This window comes from Homo sapiens, chromosome X, assembly GCF_000001405.40.
Source record: "Homo sapiens chromosome X, GRCh38.p14 Primary Assembly".
NCBI lineage: Eukaryota > Metazoa > Chordata > Mammalia > Primates > Hominidae > Homo > Homo sapiens.
The window spans coordinates 47396417-47414725 of record NC_000023.11 but is presented as its reverse complement, the minus strand read 5'-3'; the positions used below and the strand labels follow the sequence as shown (position 1 = coordinate 47414725).

General features: G+C 44.2%; 1 protein-coding gene across 1 annotated transcript in view; it reads right to left on the bottom strand.

Moving 5' to 3' along the window:
* Positions 1 to 227: 227 nt before the first annotated feature.
* Positions 228 to 18309, bottom strand: part of ZNF157 (zinc finger protein 157) — a 43921-nt gene continuing 25839 nt past the window's right edge. Inside the window, exons 2-4 of the mRNA NM_003446.4 lie at positions 4324 to 4450; positions 3951 to 4046; positions 228 to 2357 (exon numbers count right to left, since the gene is read on the bottom strand). Coding sequence (NP_003437.2) covers positions 1132 to 2357; positions 3951 to 4046; positions 4324 to 4450 — 1449 coding nt within the window. The 3' untranslated portion in view covers positions 228 to 1131. The remainder of the gene's footprint in view (positions 2358 to 3950; positions 4047 to 4323; positions 4451 to 18309) is intronic.

Here is an 18309-nt window from a genome sequence, read left to right as displayed (position 1 = left end):
GGGTGGGTTTGGAGCTCGGACACAATAGCTTAATAACCAGCACATTGCCTAAATCCTATGACCCATCAGTTCCACTTCTAGATTTAGACACTAAACTCGAAAAAGATACAAATGTCTTTTACTAGGGGAATGGAGAGATAAATGACTAGCCAGACCTATACTTATCAACAAGGACAGATCTTGGAAAGGTAACATTACATGAAAAAAGCAAGCTGCAGAACTTTAAATACAGTGTGAGCCCATTTATGTAAAATTATATAAAGACAATATAGTAGTATGTATTGCACACTTCATGCTATAACAAAAAAATCTCACAGGAGATTAAAATTCTAAATGTTGAAAGGAAAACCTTTAGAGGAAAGTATAGGTGAATATTATCACCTTGAAACTGATAATATTAAAATATAAAACTTTAGCCGGGCACGGTGGCTCACACCTGTAATCCCAACACTTTTGGAGGCCGAGGCAGGTGGATCACCTGAGGTCAGGAGTTAGAGACCAGCCTGGCCAACATGGTGAAACCCCGTCTTTACTAAAAATACAAAAATTAGCCAGGCATGGTGGTGCACACCTGTAATCCCAGCTACTTGGGAGACTGAGGCAGGAGAATCGCTTGAACCCGGGAGGCGAAGGTTGAAATGAGCTGAGGTCATGCCATTGCACTCCAGCCTGGGTGACAGAGTGAGACTCCATCTCAAAAAAATAAAAAATAAATAAATAAAATATAAAACTTCAGCAGAAGAAAACAGATGGCAAAATTTAAAAAACCAACGACAGTCTGGGAGAAGATATTTGCAACACATATGACTGAAAAAAAAAGGATTTTTATATTCTCATATGTTAAAAAACAACATTTAAACCAAAAAGCAAGAGATGAACAGCCCATTTGAAAACAATGAGCAGAGGACATGAACAGTCAATGCACAGAAGAAAAAACCCAAATAGCCAATCAACAGATAAGATGTTCACACACCACTAATTAGGGAAATCTGAATAAAAACAATGAGCTATCCCCTAAGGGGATCAGGACATACTTTGATACAAATGTAGGTGCCAAATTTTCACAGGCACACTGTGTGCCCTGGTGATCATATGCCCCCAAGGAGCTTGATCCAATGGTGAGGGAAGTCTTCAGTGAGAGGCTTTCTTCATTGTACAACGCCAGGACCAGCCTATGTGAGTTCTCTGATGTTCTGTGAGGTGTGCTTTCCGGCAGAAAGCTTTCCCACATTCTTGACACTCAAAGGGTCTCTCTCCTGTGTGAATTCGCTGATGTTCAATGAGGCGTACTTTCACATAGAAGGCATTTCCACATTCACTACATTCATAAGGTTTCTCTCCTGTGTGAGTTCTCCGGTGTTGACAAAGGGATTTCTTCATACTGAAGATTTTCCCACATTCACTACATTCGTAGGGTTTCTCTCCTGAATGCATCCTCTGATGTTCAATTAGGCGTGCTTTCACATAGAAAGCATTACCACACTCATTACATTCGTAAGGTTTCTCTCCTGTGTGAATTCTCTGATGGATCCCAAGAGATGAGTGCACCCTGAAAGATTTCCCACATTCATTACACTGATAGGGCTTTTCACCTGTGTGAGTTCTTTGATGATTATTGAGAGTCATCTTCATTCGGAAGAATTTCCCACATTCACCACACTCATAGGGTTTCTCACCTGTGTGAATTCTTTGATGCTGATTTAGGGATTTCTTTGCACGGAAGTTTTTCCCACACTCCCCACATTCATAAGGTTTCTCCCCTGTATGAGTTCTGTGGTGTTGGGTAAGGGATATCTTTACACGAAATGTTTTCCCACATTCACTACATTCATAGGGTTTCTCCCCTGTGTGAGTTCTCTGATGAATCGTGAGGGTTGCCTTCTCAGAAAAGGTTTTCCCACATTCAGTACATTCATAGGGTCTCTCTCCAGTGTGTGTTCTTGTATGTAGGATGAGTTGTGACTTCCTGCCAAAAGATTTCCCACATTCATTACATTCAAAGGGCCTCTCCCCTGTGTGAGTTTTCTGATGAGCAATGAGGTATGATCTTGCACTGAAGGTTTTTGCACATTCACCGCATTCATAGGGTCTCTCTCCTGTGTGTATTCTCAGATGTTCAACAAGGTTTGACTTCCTACAGTAAGCTTTCCCACATTCATGACATTCAAAGTTTTTATCTCCTCTGGGTGTTCTTTTACGTCTAACAAAGCCTGTTTTCTCATGGAAGGCTTTCCTGCATCCATTATATTCAACATTTTGATCCAATGTTTGAATCTTCTGATGGTGAAGAAGGTCATTATCATGCCTGAGGGCATTATCCCCAACAGAACCATTGCCACACAGCAGTGAGAGAGATCCTTTAAAAATAAATCACAGCATGTCACTCTTTTATGTAAAATCCCAAACTGGCTTCTCTTGTCACAGTATAAAATTAAACTCCTTAACACAACCTTTAAAACTCTATTCCAGCCAGGCACAGTGGCTCACGCTTGTAATCCCAGCACTTTGGGAGGCCAAGGCAGGCGGATCACTTGAGGTCAGGAGTTTGAGATCAGCCTGCCCAACATGGCAAAACTCCATCTCTACTAAAAATACAAAAATTAGCTGGCCATAATGGTGCCCGCCTGTAATCCCAGCTACTCGGGAGGCTGAGGCAAGAGAATCACTTGAACCCAGGAGGTGGAGGTTACAGTGAGCTGAGATCGCACCACTGTACTCCAGTCTGGGCGACAGAGTGAGACTCCATCAAAAAACAAACAAACAAAAAACCCTCTATTTCCTAAAAATCAGTATCTATCCTTCTTACCTTGCACTGATTTTCTTTTCACCATCAAACATATGATGTATTTGTTTGTTTCTGGTCACTTTCCCCCACTATATTGTAAGCTCCAAGAGAACAGAGATATTATTTTATTCACTACCAGTTTCCCACACCTAGAACATACACAGCATATAACTGATACTCATTTAAAGTTTCATGGATGACTAAATGAATATATGAATGAATGCCTGATAACAGAAAGCATCCAAGGCAATGGAGGGAAGAAAGAATAAATGTTGCCAGGTGTGGTGGCTCATACCTCTGACCCTAGCACTTCGGGAGGCCATGGCAGGTGGATCACTTGAGCCCAGGAGTTCAAGACCAGCCTGGGCAACATAGTGAGATTCTGTCTCTACAAAAAAAAAATAATAATAATACAAAAATCAGCCAGGTATGGTGGTGCGTGCCTGTAGTCCCAGCTACTAGGGAGGTTGCCCTGGAAAGGTCGTTTAAACCGGGCAGGTGAGGTTTTAAGTTGAGGTTGAGCCATGATTGCACCACTGCACTCGAGCCTGAGCAACAGAGAGACACTCTGTCTCAAAAAAATAAAAGAATAAATGTTTAAGATGAGGCAGAGATAAATAAGAGTGGTAAATAACTTAAAAATCAAGATAAAGGCTAGGTGCGGTGGCTCACACCTGTAATCCCAGCACTTTGAGAGGCCAAGGCAGGCAGATCACTTGAGGTCAGGAGTTCGTGACCAACCTGGCCAACATGGTGAAACCCTGTCTCTACTAAAAGTACAAAAATTAGCCAGGCGTGGTGGCACGCACCTGTAATCCCAGCTGCTCAGGATGCTGAGGCAGGAGAATCGCTTGAGCCCGGGAGGTGGAGGTTGTGGTGAGCTGAGATCGCACCACTGCACTCCAGCCTGGATGACAGAGTGAGACTCCATCAAAAAAAAAAAAAATCAAGATAAAACCGGAGAAAGCACTGAAGTTTGAGTGTGATATTAAGATGTGTGACTTTGGTATCTGAAGCATGTAGACCTTCCGTCCTTATTTTCAAAGAGCTAGGAACTCTAAAAAGAGATTCCTAGAAAGTGTTGCACAAGCATACCCTTTGACCTGAATTCCTGGGCTCTTATTTCCCCTATTTTCCATATGTCCAGTTCTTGCCCAGTACTTACCTGAGTAACCATGGCCTGAGGATTCCTCCTCTAATATCCACAGCTCTTCTCCTCGCTCCAACTTGAAGATCATCTCTGGTTTGGCCACGCAGAGGCCTGTTAATGGGAAATGGCACAGGACGTGGGCCAAGTTGTCTGAGCTCTAGGGCCTCTGATGGAGGAGGAAGGTGCATCTTCATGAGCTGCACAAGGAAGGGGGCCCATTTAAACCTTTCATTGGGGAAGTAAGAACGCACACATTTTTTCTGGTGCCCTAAACTGATTACTCATCTGTGACTCTTAATATCATTAAACCCTCGCAAGGCTGCACATGTTACAGCAACCAAGAAAGGAAACACACGCTCTCAGGAGTTACACGGACAATCATCCTCACCCACAGATGCCAGGTTGCTGTAGGTCTCCAGCATCACATCCTTGTGCATGGTCCTCTGAGCAGGGTCCAGTCTGTGCCACTCCTGTCGGGTGAAATCCACAGCCACATCCTCGAATGACACGGACCCCTGTAATAACAATCTCCAATGATCAGAATGGGATGCATGAAAAAGATGTGCAGGAACTAATCTTCTCAATGGAGCCCTGTTGAAAGTTGACTAAATAGAGCTACACTGGATACCTGATTTTGTGTCTCGCTTGATATACTTTTGGGGTGGGGGGTACCTGGAACAGCTCTGTTACTGTGTTAATTTATTAATGCATGAAAAAAAGATCACTGCACTCCTGAGTTAACACTATGTGCCTCAGTAAGCATATTTCTGGAAAACCAATGAAAAAACAAACACTATGTGCCTGGACGTGTGCAAGTTGCTGGGTTAAAAAATGAAGAAGGAGGCTGGGCGCGGTGGCTCACGCCTGTAATCCCAGCACTTTGGGAGGCCAAGCTGGGTGGATTGCCTGAGATCAGGAGTTCAAGACCAGACTGGCCAACAGAGATGGGGTGAACCCCATCTCTACTAAAAATACAAAAATTAGCTGGGTGTGGTGGTGCACATCTGTAGTCCCAGCTACTCAGGAGGCGGAGGCAGGAGAATCACTTGAACCCAGGAGGCGGAGGTTGCAGTGAGCCAAGATCACACCACTGCACTCCAGCTCGGGCAACAGAGCAAGACTCCGTCTCAAAAAAAAAAAAAGAAGCTGGCTGGGCATGGTGGCTCATGCCTATGATCGTAGCACTTTGGGAGGCCGAGGCAGGCGGATCACTTGAGGTCAGGAGTTCGAGACCAGCCTGGCCAACATGGTGAAACCCTATCTCTACTAAAAATACAAAAAAAAAAAAATTAGCCGGGCATGGTGGCAGGTGCCTGCCATCCCAGCTACTTGGGAGCCTGAGGCAGGAGAATCACTTGAACCCGGGAGGTGGAGGTTGCAGTGAGCTGAGATTGCGTCACTGCACTCCAGCCTGGGCGACAGAGAGACCCTGTCTCAAAACAAAGAAACAAAATATATTTATACTTATAAATGATACAGAAGTGCTGTTCTGTGGGAGAAAGGGAGACAGTATTGCTCCCAGGATAACTGCATGAACAGCTGGGATGAGGCTGGAGCCATGTATAGACATTAGCAAAACAGGAGAGACAATGAGTTCATGGAAGAAAAACTGAGATAGACTTTGGAGTGTTTATGGAACATACTGACAGAGATGTCCAGCTGGAGCTCAAGAGAGAAGGCTAGCAGAGGCCAAGGTTTGGGGGGTAAGATCATTCCAGTACTAGCTGAAACCACCAGAATAAATTGGATAGCTAAGAAGGAGCACAGTTTGAGAGAAGCACCAAGTACAGAGTTTGAGGGAACACCAATATGCTATGAAGGTTGCAGAGTAAATTCCTGATATGGTTTGGATCTGTGTCTCCACCCAAATCTCATGTTGAATTGTAATCCCCAGTGTTGGAGGTGGGGCCTGGTGGGAGGGGATTGGATCATGGGGGTGGTTTCTCATGATTTAACACCATCCTCCCTTGGTGCTGTCATCGCCATAGTGAGTTCTCATGAGATCTGGTTGTTTAAGAGTGTGTGGCACCTGTGCCCCAATTCCTCCTGCTCTGGCCATGTAAGATGTGCCTGCTGTCCGGGCGCAGTGGCTCATGCCTGTAATCCCAGCACTTTGGGAAGCTGAAGCAGGTGGACAGCTTGAGCCCAGGAATTTGAGCAGACTGGGCAACATGGTGAAATCCTGTCTCTACAAACAAACAAACAAAAATTAGCTGGGCATGGTGGTGCATGTCTATAATCCCAGCTACTTGAGGGGCTGAGGCAGGAGGATCACTTGAGCCCAGGAGGTTGAGACTGCAGTGAGCCAAGATCACACCACTGCACTCCAGCCTGTGTGACAGAGCGAGATCCTATCTTACACACACACACACAAAGATATGCCTCCGGGCACGGTGGCTCACGCCTGTAATCCCAGCACTTTGGGAGACTGAGGTAGGTGGATCACCTGAGGTCAGGAGTTTGAGACCAGCCTGGCCAACATGGTGAAACCCCATTTCTACTAAAATACAAAAATTAGCGGGGCATGGTGGTGCACACCTGTAATCCCAGCTACTCAGGAGGCTGAGGCAGGAGAATCAGGAATCACTTGAACCCAGGAGGCGGAGGTTGCAATGAGCCGAGATCGTGCCCTTGCACTCTAGCCTGGGTGACAAGAGTGAAACTCCGTCTAAAAAAAAAAAAAAATTTCTTCCTTCTTCCTCTTTGCCTTCTGCCATGGATTGGAAGTTTCCTGAGGCCTCCCCAGAAGCCGTTATGCTTTTTGTACAGCCTGCAGAACCATGAGCCAATTAAATCTCTTTTCTTTATAAGTTACCCAGTCTCAGGTATTTCTTTATAGCAATGCAAGAACAGACTAATACAATTATTAGATGGTAGAAATAGAACCAGGAAAGTGTGGGGTGTTGGAAGGTAGGAGGGGAGACACTTTCAAGTAACAGTGCCATTTCCAGTTTAAAGTGATAGGTAAGAAATGAGCTGGGTATGGTGGTGCAGGCCTGTAATCCCAGCCACTTGGGAGGCTGAGGCAGGAGAATTGCTTGAACCCGGGAGGTGGAGGTTGCAGTGAGCCAAGCTCCATCTCAAAAAAAAAGAAAAAAAGAAAAGAAAACAAAGAGATATTACTATATACCTCTAACGACATTAAAATGAGAGTAAGAGAATGCCACGAACATTTTTATTCACATAAATTCACCAACTTAGATGAAATGGACCAATTCCATGAAATATACAAAACACCAAAACTTACCCAAAGAGAAACAGACAACTGAATGGAATATCAATTAAATAAACTGAACTTGTGGTTTAAAACCTTCCAAAAAAGAAATTCCCAGGCCTTGATAGTTTCACTAGTAAATTCTACCAAATATTTAAGGAATACATCAATTCTATACAGTCTTTCCTCTTCCATTTTCTAGACAAGGACACTTCTCATTTTATGAGGCCATCATTATCCTGATTACAAAATCAGACAAAGACATGACAAGAAAAGAAAATTGCAGTCCAATATCCCTTATAAACATAGAAGTAAAAAGCCTCAACAAATATTAGCAAATCAAATCAAGCAACATATGTAAACACATAGCATGATCAGTTGGTGTTTATCCAGAGAACGTGAGGCTGGCTGAACATTTTTAAATCAATCAATATAATCCACCATATTAAGAAACTAAAACAGAAAAACCACACAATCATCAATTGATATAGAAAAGTCATTTGACAAAATTCAACATTCATTCCTGACAAAACCTCTCATCAAAGTAGGAATAGAAGGAAACTTCTTTAACCTGATAAAGATCATCTACCAAAAACCTACAGCTAACATCATATGTAATGAAAAAGACTGAATGCTTTCCCTAGAAGATCAGGAAAAAGGCAAGAGACGTCCACTTTTACGAATCCTATTCGAAATCAAAATCCTATTCAAAGTCCTACTTTAGTGAAATCAGGCAAGAAAAAGGAAATAAAAGGCATATAACTGGTTGGAAAGAATAAATAAAACTGTCTCTGTTCTCACACAATATGATTGTCTATGTAGAAAATCCTAAGGAATCTACAAAGAAGCTCTTAGCAAGACTGCAGGACACAAAGTCAACTCATCGAAGTCAATCATGTTTCGGCCGGGCATAGTGGCTCACGCCTGTAATCCCAGCACTTTGGGAGGCCCAGGCAGGCATATCAGCTGAGGTCAGGAGTTCAAGACCAGCCTAGCCAACATGGCGAAACCCTGTCTCTACTAAAAATTTTTAAAATTAGCCAGGTGTAGTGGTGCGTGCCTGTAATCCCAGCTACTCAGGAGGCTGAGGCAGGAGAATCGCTTCAACCGGGGAGGCCAAAGTTGCATTGAGCCAAGATCTCGCCACTGCACTCCAGTCTGGGTGACAGAGTGAGACTCTGTCTCAAAAAAAGAAAAAGAGAGAGAGAGAGAGAGAAAGAAATACAGTAAATAAAATATATACCACAGTGATTATAACATAAAATAAAATGAGAGAATTGAGACCAAGCTTAACAGTAACGCGAATAAATACGAATGGGCTTAATTCGCTTATTAAAGGAAAAAGGGAGCCAAATGTGGTGGCTCACACCTATAATCCTAGCACTTTGGGAGGCTGATGTGGGAGGATTGCTTGAGGCCAGGAGTTCAAGACCATCCTGGCCAACATAGGAAGATACCAACTCTATCTATTTAAAATAATAATAATAATATTTTTAATAAAACATTAAAGCAAAGCTATGAGGACACAAAGGCATAAGAATGATACAATGGACTTTGGGGACTGAGAAGAAAGGGTAGGGGGGTAGGGATAAAAGACTACACATTGGGTATACTGCTTGTGTGATGGGTGCACCAAAATCTTTGAAGTCACCACTACAGAACTTCTTCATGTAACCAAACACCAACCATTCCCCAAAACCTATTGAAATAAAAAAGAAACTGAAAAATAAAAATGAAAAAAACCTAAAAATATGTAAAAGCTATGTTTTCCATGTAAAAGCAAAGTACAAAAGACAAATGTATTTGATTACTATTACGTATGTCTGGCTGGGCTGTTCTATTGATGGGTCAGCAATGTTTAGGTGAGTAATAAAATAAAAACCTATACAATCAAAAAAATAAATAAAATAAAAAGGGTTTAATATTGCCTCATAAAGCAAAGCCCAGCACTATGCTGCATACAAGAGACATGATTAAAACACAGTCATGCAAAAGGCTAAAATTAAAGGGTTGGACAAAAATTTACCAAATGCCTAATAAACTTGCACATGTTCCTGATGTGGTTTGGCTCTGTGACCCCATGCAAATCTCATGTTGAATTATGATCTTCAGCGTTGGAGGAGGGGCCTGCTGGGAAGTGATTGGAACATGGGGGTGGATTTCCCCCTTGTTCATTTTTTTTTTTTCAAGACAGAGTTTTGCTCTTGTTGCTGAGGCTGGAGTGCAATGGTGCAATCTTGGCTCACTGCAACCTCCACCTCTGAGGTTCAAGCGATTCTCCTGCCTCAGCCTCCTGAGTAGCTGGGATTACAGGCGCATGCCATCATGCCCAGCTAATTTTTTGTATTTTTAGTAGAAATGGGGTTTCACCATGTTGGCCAGGCTGGTCTTGAACTCCTGACCTCAGGTGATCTACCCGCCTCAGCTTCCCAAAGTGCTGGGATTACAGATGTGAGCCACCACGTCCGGCCTCCCCCTTCTTCTTGTGATAGTGATTGAGTTCTCACAAGATCTGGTTGTTTAGTGTGTGGCACTTCCCCCTTTGCTCTCTCTCTCCTGCTGCCATGTGAGACATGCCTTGCTTCCCCTTCACTTTCCACCATAATTGTAAGTTTCCTGAGTCCTCCCCAAAAGCAGAAGCCTGTCCAGCCTGTGGAACCATAAGTCAATTAAACCTCTATTCTTTATAAACTACCCAGGTCGTTCTTTATAGGAGTGTGAGAACAGACTAATACAGTACCCGAAACCTAAAATAAAAGTCAAAAAAAAATTTAAAAAAATAAATAATAAATAAACAAAGTCAAGACAATAGAGAATAAGAATAATATCCAGGGCACTTGGTTAGGAATTAGAGAAAGCCATACCTGAAACCCAAGTCTAGATATCTAGACTGGCATTATGGTTCACAACATCATATTCAGTCACTCATTTATATATAGATAATGCAGGCTTTTTTCTATGCTTAAGTTCATTGATTCCTTTTTCATCTGCATTCTGCTGTCGAGTCCATTTCTGAGTTTCCATTTTGATTATTGTATTTTTAATTTCTAAAATTTCCATTTGGTTACTTTTTATGGCTGTTTGTTTGTTTCAGACAGATTCTCCCTCTGTCTGCCAGGTGCGGTGGCTCAAGCCTGTAATCCCAGCATTTTGGGAGGCCGAGGCAAGCAGATCACCTGAGGTCAGGGGTCTGAGACCAGCCTGGCCAACATGGTGAAATCCCATCTTTACTAAAAATACAAAAATTAGCAGGGCATGGTGGTGCGCGCCTGTAATCCCAGCTACAGGGAGGCCGAGGGGGCAGAATCGATTGAACCTGAGAGATGGAGGTTGCAGTGAGCCGATATCAAGCCACTGCACTCCAGCCTGGGCAACAGAGTGAGACTCTATCTCAAAACAAACAAACAAACAAACAGTCTGGCTCTGCCGCACAGGCTGCAGTGCAGTGGCTCCATCTCAGCTCACTGCAACCTCCACCTCCCAGGTTCAAGCAATTCTCATGCCTCAGACTCCCAAGTAGCTGGGATTACAGGCGCTTACCACCACACCCAGCTAATTTTTGTATTTTTAGTAGAGACAGGGTTTCACCATGTTGGCCATGCTGGTCTCCAACTCCTGACCTCAAGTGATCTGCCCGCCTCGGCCTCCCAAACTGCTGGGATTACAGGCGTGAGCCTCTGTGCCCGGCAACTTTTTATGTCTTTTATTTCTTTGCTGGGGATTTCTATTTTTTTATGAAAACTTTCTTAAAAAGTTTGTTTTGAGTGTGTTCATAATTGTTGAAGTATTTTTATGATGGCTGCTTTAAAATCCTTGTCAAGTAATTCTAAACTCTGTATCATCTCAGTGCTGGCACCCATTGATTTTTTTCTCATTCAAATTGAAATGTTCCTGGTTCTTGATATAACTTTTGGATTTTTGTATAATGAGTAAACAATATCTTGGTCAGGTGAGGTAGCTCATGCCTGTATCCCAGCACTTTGGGAGGCTGAGGCAGGCAGATCAATTGAGCCCAGGAGTTCGAGACAAGCCTAAGCAACAGAGCAAAACCCAGTCTCTACTAAAAATACAATAAATTAGCCAGGTGTGGTGGTGCACACTTGTAGTCTCAGCTACTTATGAGGCTGACGTGGGAGAATCACCTGAGCCCAGGCAGTCGAGGTTCCAGTGAGCCGAGATCCTGCCACTGCACTCTAACCTGGGTGACAAGAGTGAGACCCCATCTCAAAAAATAATAATAACTAGATACTGGGGTATTATAGTACAAGACTCTGGAGCTTATTTTTTTGTTTGTTTTTCGAGACAGAGTTTCACTCTTGTTGCCCAGGCTGGAGTGCAGTAGCGTGATCTCGGCTCACTGCAATCTCTGTTTCCTGGGTTCAAGTGATTCTCCTGCCTCAGCCTCTCTAGTAGCTGGGATTACAGGTGTCTGCCACCACACCCAGCTAATTTGTGTGTGTGTGTGTGTGTGTATTTTCAGTAGAGACAGGGTTTCACCATGTTGGCCAGGCTGGTCTCGAACTCCTGATTTCAGGTGATCCACCTGCCTCGGCCTCCCAAAGTGCTAGGATTACAGGCATGAGCCACTGTGCCCAGTCTGGAGCTTATTTAATCATCTGATTTAATGTACCCTATTCAGGTGATGGTGACACTAAAAGCCCAGACTTCACCACTCTGCAATATACGCATGTAACAAAGCTGTACTTGTATCCTCTAAATCCATACAAAATCTTTAGGCCGGGCACGGTGGCTCACGCCTGTAATCCCAGCACTTTGGGAGGCCGAGACAGGCGGATCACAAGGTCAGGAGATGGAGACCATCCTGGGTAACACGGTGAAACCCCATGTCTACTAAAACTACAAACAAAAATTAGCCGGGCGTGGTGGCGGGCGCCTGTAGACCCAGCTACTCGGGAGGCTGAGGCAAGAGAATGGCGTGAACCCGGGAGGCGGAGCTTGCAGTGAGCTGAGATCATACCACTGCACTCCGGCCTGGGCGACAGAGCAAGACTCTGACTCCAAAAAAAAAAAAAAATTAAAAAATTTATCAAATGCAAACAATAAAGTAACATCAACAGCCTATATAAGCCGAAAACTACAAGAATGAAAGAAGAAATAGAAATATTCTCTAATGGGAGACTTTTAACATACCATTCACAGAATGAGACAGATTAAATAGACAAAATATAAGTAATAATATAAAAGACCTAAACCACATAATCAGTAAGGTTGATCTTTTGGATCCCTGATCATACAGAATATACTTTTTCTCACGTGCACATAAAATATTCACAAAATTTGGTCAAATACTAGGGCACAAAGAAAACAACTTCGGTAGGTTCCTTAAGATACATATGTTACAAACAACATTGATCACAATCAATAAAACAAAATTAATAATTAGAAATTGACAAGCTGCTTCTAAAATTCATATGGAAATTAAAAGGGCCTCGAACAGCCAAAGCAATTTTGAAAAGGAAGAAAAAAGCTAGAGGATTTATATACCTAATTTCAACACTTACTATAAAGCTACCGTTCTCGGTCAGGCATGGTGGCTCTTGCCTGTAATCCCAGCACTTTGAGAGGCCGAAGCGGGAGGACTGCTTGAGCCCAGGAGTTCAAGACCAGCCTGGGCAACATAGTGAGACCCTGTCTCTCCAAATATAAAAAATTAGTGGGTGTGATGGCACACACCTGTGGTCCTAGCTACCTGGGAGGCTGAGGTGGGAGGTTTGCTTGGGGCAGAGAGGTGGAGGCCGCAGTGAACTGTGATTGTGCCACTGCACTCTGGCCTGGGCAACATAGTGAGACCTTGTCTCAAAAAACAAAAAACTGAAGAGCAAGCTAGGACTGACTTAAATAGAATAGTGACATACATGACCAACAGAGGTGGTTGATAAATGCGACAAAAATCCAAAGGCCCACTCAAATGGTGAAATTCTTAGGAATAACCTGGGCAGGATCCACCCCTAACATTCCCCAAGCAAGAAAAAAATGAACTGCTGTCACTGCCTACTACCCCTGGTACTACGTGAGAAACACAGTACCTAATCAGGTTACTTGTCATTTGCAGGATGCATGTTCCACATCTGAGAATATTGCTAGCTTCCCTCCATTAAACAGCACAAAAGAAGGCCATATTTACGCAGGCTATGTCTGAATTGCAAAGAGCAGACACTCTCTTGATGCTTTTGAGCCCTTATATAAGATCCACAGGCAGACATGATTTTGAAAATGTCTGCAACTTGTATTTATAGAGACTGGAGATTGTGGCAAAAGCCTGTGAGTGCTACCCAACAGCAATGGCTGAGGTTTTGGATCAGAGAATTTCCAGATGTGGTGGTATGGTGATTTTTTTGTGAATGAAAGATAAAATAATCTTGAAACCTGAAATACCCATAATGTCCTAGGTGATGTCAGAGAAACATTCTAATAAGGAAGGCAATGCCCAGAAGAGTTCCATAATATAATGCAAACAGTTTATACGAGGACATGCTACTGGAGGATTGCAAGGCAGTACTCATCGTATTCAGCATTTCCTCTAAGACCAACTTTGAAACCACCAGAGGAACTGACAGCTCCTACTGCCACATGGATGGCACCCTATGAACAGCTCTCATGACTGAGCACAGGGTCTCATGCCTATAGTCCCAGTACTTTGGGAGGCCGAGATGGGAGGACTGCTTTAGGCCAGGAGTTCAAGACCAGCCTGGAGAACACAGGGAGAACCCATCTCTACAAAAAATATAAAAAATTAGCCAGGCACGGTGGCACATGCCTGTAGTTCCAGCTACTCAGGTGGCTGAGGCGGGAGGATCGCCTGAGCCTAGGAGGTCGAGGCTGCAGTGAGCCCTGATAGCACCACTGCTCTCCACCTTGGTTACAGAGCAAGGCTCTGTCTTGAAAAAGAAAGAAGAGAAAAGAAAAGAAACAGAAGATACTACACCAATTTAGACTGCCATGTTACATCTCTTCAGATCAAGGAACACACCTTACAGCATAGTATCCAACAATGGGCAAAAAGATAAAACACCAAATGGACATATTATGTTGCATATCATCCTCAGAGTTGTAGTTTTGCACAGAATTGGAATGGACAATTAAAACATCTGTCAAACGCTGGGTCCAGTAGCTCATGCCTATAATCCCAGCACTTTGGGAAGCCGACTTGGGAGGATCCCTTGAGCCCAAGAGTTTGAGACGAGCCTTGGCAACATAGCTAGACCCTGTCTCTAAAATAATAATAATAATAAGAGAGATAGAGAGAGACAGGAAAGGCTGGGCACAGTGGCTCACGCCTGTAATCCCAGCACTTTGGGAGGCCAAGGCAGGCAGGCAGATCACCTGAGGTCAGGAGTTCAAGACCAGCCTGACCAACATGATGAAACACCGTCTCTACTAAAAATATAAAAATTAGCTGGGTGTGGTGGTGCGTGCCTGTAGTCCCAGCTACTTGGGAGGCTGAGGCACGAGAATCACTGAAATCCGGGAGGCAGAGGTTGTGGTGAGCCGAAATTGCGCCACTGCACTCCAGCCTGGGTGACAGAGCAAGACTCTGTCTCAAAAAAAAAAAAAAAAAAAGAGAGAGAGAACAGAAACTGGGCAATGTGGCTCATGCCTGTAATACCAACACTTTGGGAGGCTGAGGCAGGAGGATCACTTGAGCTCAAGAATCTGAGGCCAGCCTGGGCAACATAGGGAGACCACATCTCTACCAAAAATTCCAAAAATTAACTAGGCATGATGGTGTATGCCTGTAAACCTAGCTGCTCAGGAGGCTGAAGTGGGAGGATTGCTTCAGCCCTGGAGGCTGAGGTTGCAGTGAGCCAAGGTTACACCACTGCACTGCAGCCTGGGCAACAGACCCAAACCCTGTCTCAAAAAAGAGACAGAGAGAGAGAGAAAGAGAGAGGAGACATGGGCTTAAAGAGCTGGCTTACACACCTTCCCAAGTTTGTGCTCACAGTCAACATGAGCAGAATCAATGGAACATTCTTGCTAGATAGATTCCGAGATTCCTCCACTTTTCTGAGAGATGAGGTGTAAAGGTGATGGGGGAGGATGCTAATATGACTATACAATTCTCCCCTATATTACCTAAACTTTCTTTCTTACTCCTTGTTGCAATGGTTCCAGGACCAGGGCTACAACTGTGGGTGCTGGAAGCAGAGATGATCCTTAGCAAGAATCTGTAACTATACTTTAAAAATATATATATGCCAAAATTCCTATGGGCCTAATGAGATAGATTGTGCCTTCACCCCATCTGACAAAATTGCGGTTGACAGTGAATCCAGATGCACTGTCTAGTGGTTGAGATACCCCATGAGTTTGGTACCAATATAACCATATGCTATATGAATGGGAAAAGACCAATGGGGAGGCATTTGCTAGACCAATATTGTTGCCAGCAACCTGGACCAGAACAGTGTGTGGGTAGAAATCAGTGACAAATAGAGAGAAATAGAAAGAATAGGCTGGACACGGTGGCTCACACCTGTAATCCCAGCACTTTGGGAGGCCAAGGCGGGCGGATTACCTGAGCTCATGAGTTCGAGACCAGCCTGGCCAACATGGCGAAACCCCGTCTCTACTAAAAAATACAGGCCAGGTGCAGTGGCTCACTCCTGTAATCCCAGCACTTTGAGAGGCTGAGGCGGGCAGATTGCCTGAGGTCAGGAGTTCGAGACCAGCCTGGCCAACATGGTGAAACCCTGTCTCTACTAAAAATACTGGGCATGGTGGCAGGCGCCTGTAATCCCAGCTACTCGGGAGGCTGAGGCAGAAGAATCGCTTGGGCCTGGGAGGCAGGGGTTGCAGTGAACCAAGATCGCACCATTGCATTCCAGCCTGAGTGACAAGAGTGAGACTTCATCTAAAAAAACACACACACACACACAAATTAGCTGGGTGTGGTGGCATGAGCCTGTAATCCCAGCTACTCGGGAGGCAAAGGCAGGAGAATCGCTTGAACCCAGGAGGTGGAGGTTGTATTGAGACGAGATTGTGCCACTATACTCCAGCCTCCAGCCTGAGAGACAAAGCAAGACTCTCTCTCAAAAAAAAAGAAAAAGAAAAAGAAATAAAAAAAGAAATAATAGCTGAAAGTAAAGGAATGAATACATGGGTTATGCAACAAAGGAAATCCACCATCATGGTATTCCACAAAGCATTGCTTCTGACCAAGGAACTTATTTCACAGCAAAAGGAGTGGGGCAATGGGACCATGCTCATGGAATTCACAAGTCTCACCATGTTCCTCACCATGCTTTTTGAAGACTCAGTTACAGTGCCAGCTAGGTGGCAATACCTTGCTGGGCTGGGGCAATGTCCTGCAGGAGTCTGAATATTCTCTGAATCCGCATTTAATATATGGTGTGATTTCTCCCATAGCCAGGATTCACAGGTCCAGGAATCAAGGAGGTAAAAATGCAAATGGCTCCCAGCTACTCAGGAGGCTGAGGCAGGAGAGTCACTTGAACCCAGGTGGAGGAGGTTGCAGTGAGCTGAGATCATGCCAGTGCACTCCAGCCTGGGCAACAGAGCAAGACTCCGTCTCAAAAAAAAACACAAAAACAAACAGAAATGCAAATGGCACTACTCACTATTACCCCTAGTAACCTACTAGCAAAATTTTTATTTCCTACCTTCATGATATTATGCTCCACTGGTGTAGGGGTCTCTGTTCCAAAAGGAGGAAAGCTTCCACCAAGAGATACAACAGTGATTTCATTGAACTGGAAGCTAAGACTGCCACACGGCCACTTAAGGCTTCTCATGCCTCTGAAGCAACAGGAAAAGAAGGGAGTTGCTGTATTGGCTGGAGCATCTGATCCTAACTACCAAGATGAAATTGGCTTGCAGCAGGGCACGGTGGCTCACGCCTGTAATCCCAGCAATTTGGGAGGCCAAGGCGGGCAGATCATTTGAGGTCAGGAGTTCTAGGCTACCCTGGCCAACATGGTGAAACTCTGTCTCTACTAAAAATACAAAAATTAGCTGGGCATGGTGGCAGGCACCTGTAGTCCCAGCTACTTGGAAGGCTGAGGCAGGAGAATCGCTTGAACCCAGGAGGCGGAGGTTGCAGTGAGCCGAGATTGTGCTACTGCACTCCCAGCCTGGGTGACAACAAGACTCCATCTCAAAAAAAATAAAAAAATAAAAAAATTAGGCAGGCATGGTGTTGCATGCCTGTAATCCCAGCTACTTGGGAGGCTGAGGCAGGAGAATCACTTGAACCTGGGAGGCGGAGGTTGTGGTTAGCTAAGATCACATCACTGCACTCCAGCCTGGGCAACAGAGTGAGACTCCATCTCAAAAAAAAAAAAAAAAAAAGAAAGAAAAAAAGAAACTGGGTTGCTATTAAACAATGAAGATAAAGAAGAGTAGGCCTGGAACACAGAAGACCCCTTAAAGCACACTACAATGCCCTGTGATTAAAGTCAATTGAAAACTACAACAACCCAATTCAGGCAGGACTAACAGTAGCTTGCTGATAGGGTTTGGCTGTGTCCCCACCCAAATCTCATCTTGAATTGTTGCTCCCACAATTCCCATGTGTTGTGGGAGGGACCCAGTGGGAGGTAATTGAATCATGGAGGCAGGTCTTTCCTGTGCTGTTCTCATGATAGTGAATAAGTCTCACAAGAATGGATGATTTTATAAAGGGGAGTTCCCCTGCACATGCTCTCTTGCCTGCCACCATGTAAGATGTGACTTTGCTCCTCTTTTGCCTTCCGCCATGATTGTGAGGCCTCCTCAGCCATGTGGAACCATGAGCCAACTAAACCTCTTTCCTTTACAAATTACCAAGTCTTGGGTATGTCTTTATTAGCAGCATGAGAACAGACTAATACACCCAGACTCTGCAATAATAAAGGTTTGGGTCACCCCATCGGGTAAAGAAGCAGCTCAGGTGTCTGCTGAGGGCAAAGGGATCTGGAATGGGTAGAAGAAGGCAGTTATAAATACCAGCTATGACCATGTGACCAGCTGCATAAATTACGACTATATATAAATATATAACTTTTTTTTTTTGAGACGGAGTTTCGCTCTTGTTGCCCAGGTTGGAGTGCAATGGCGCGATCTCGGCTCACTGCAACCTCCGCCTCCTGGGTTCAAGCGGTTCTCCTGTCTCAGCCTCCTGAGTAGCTGGGATTA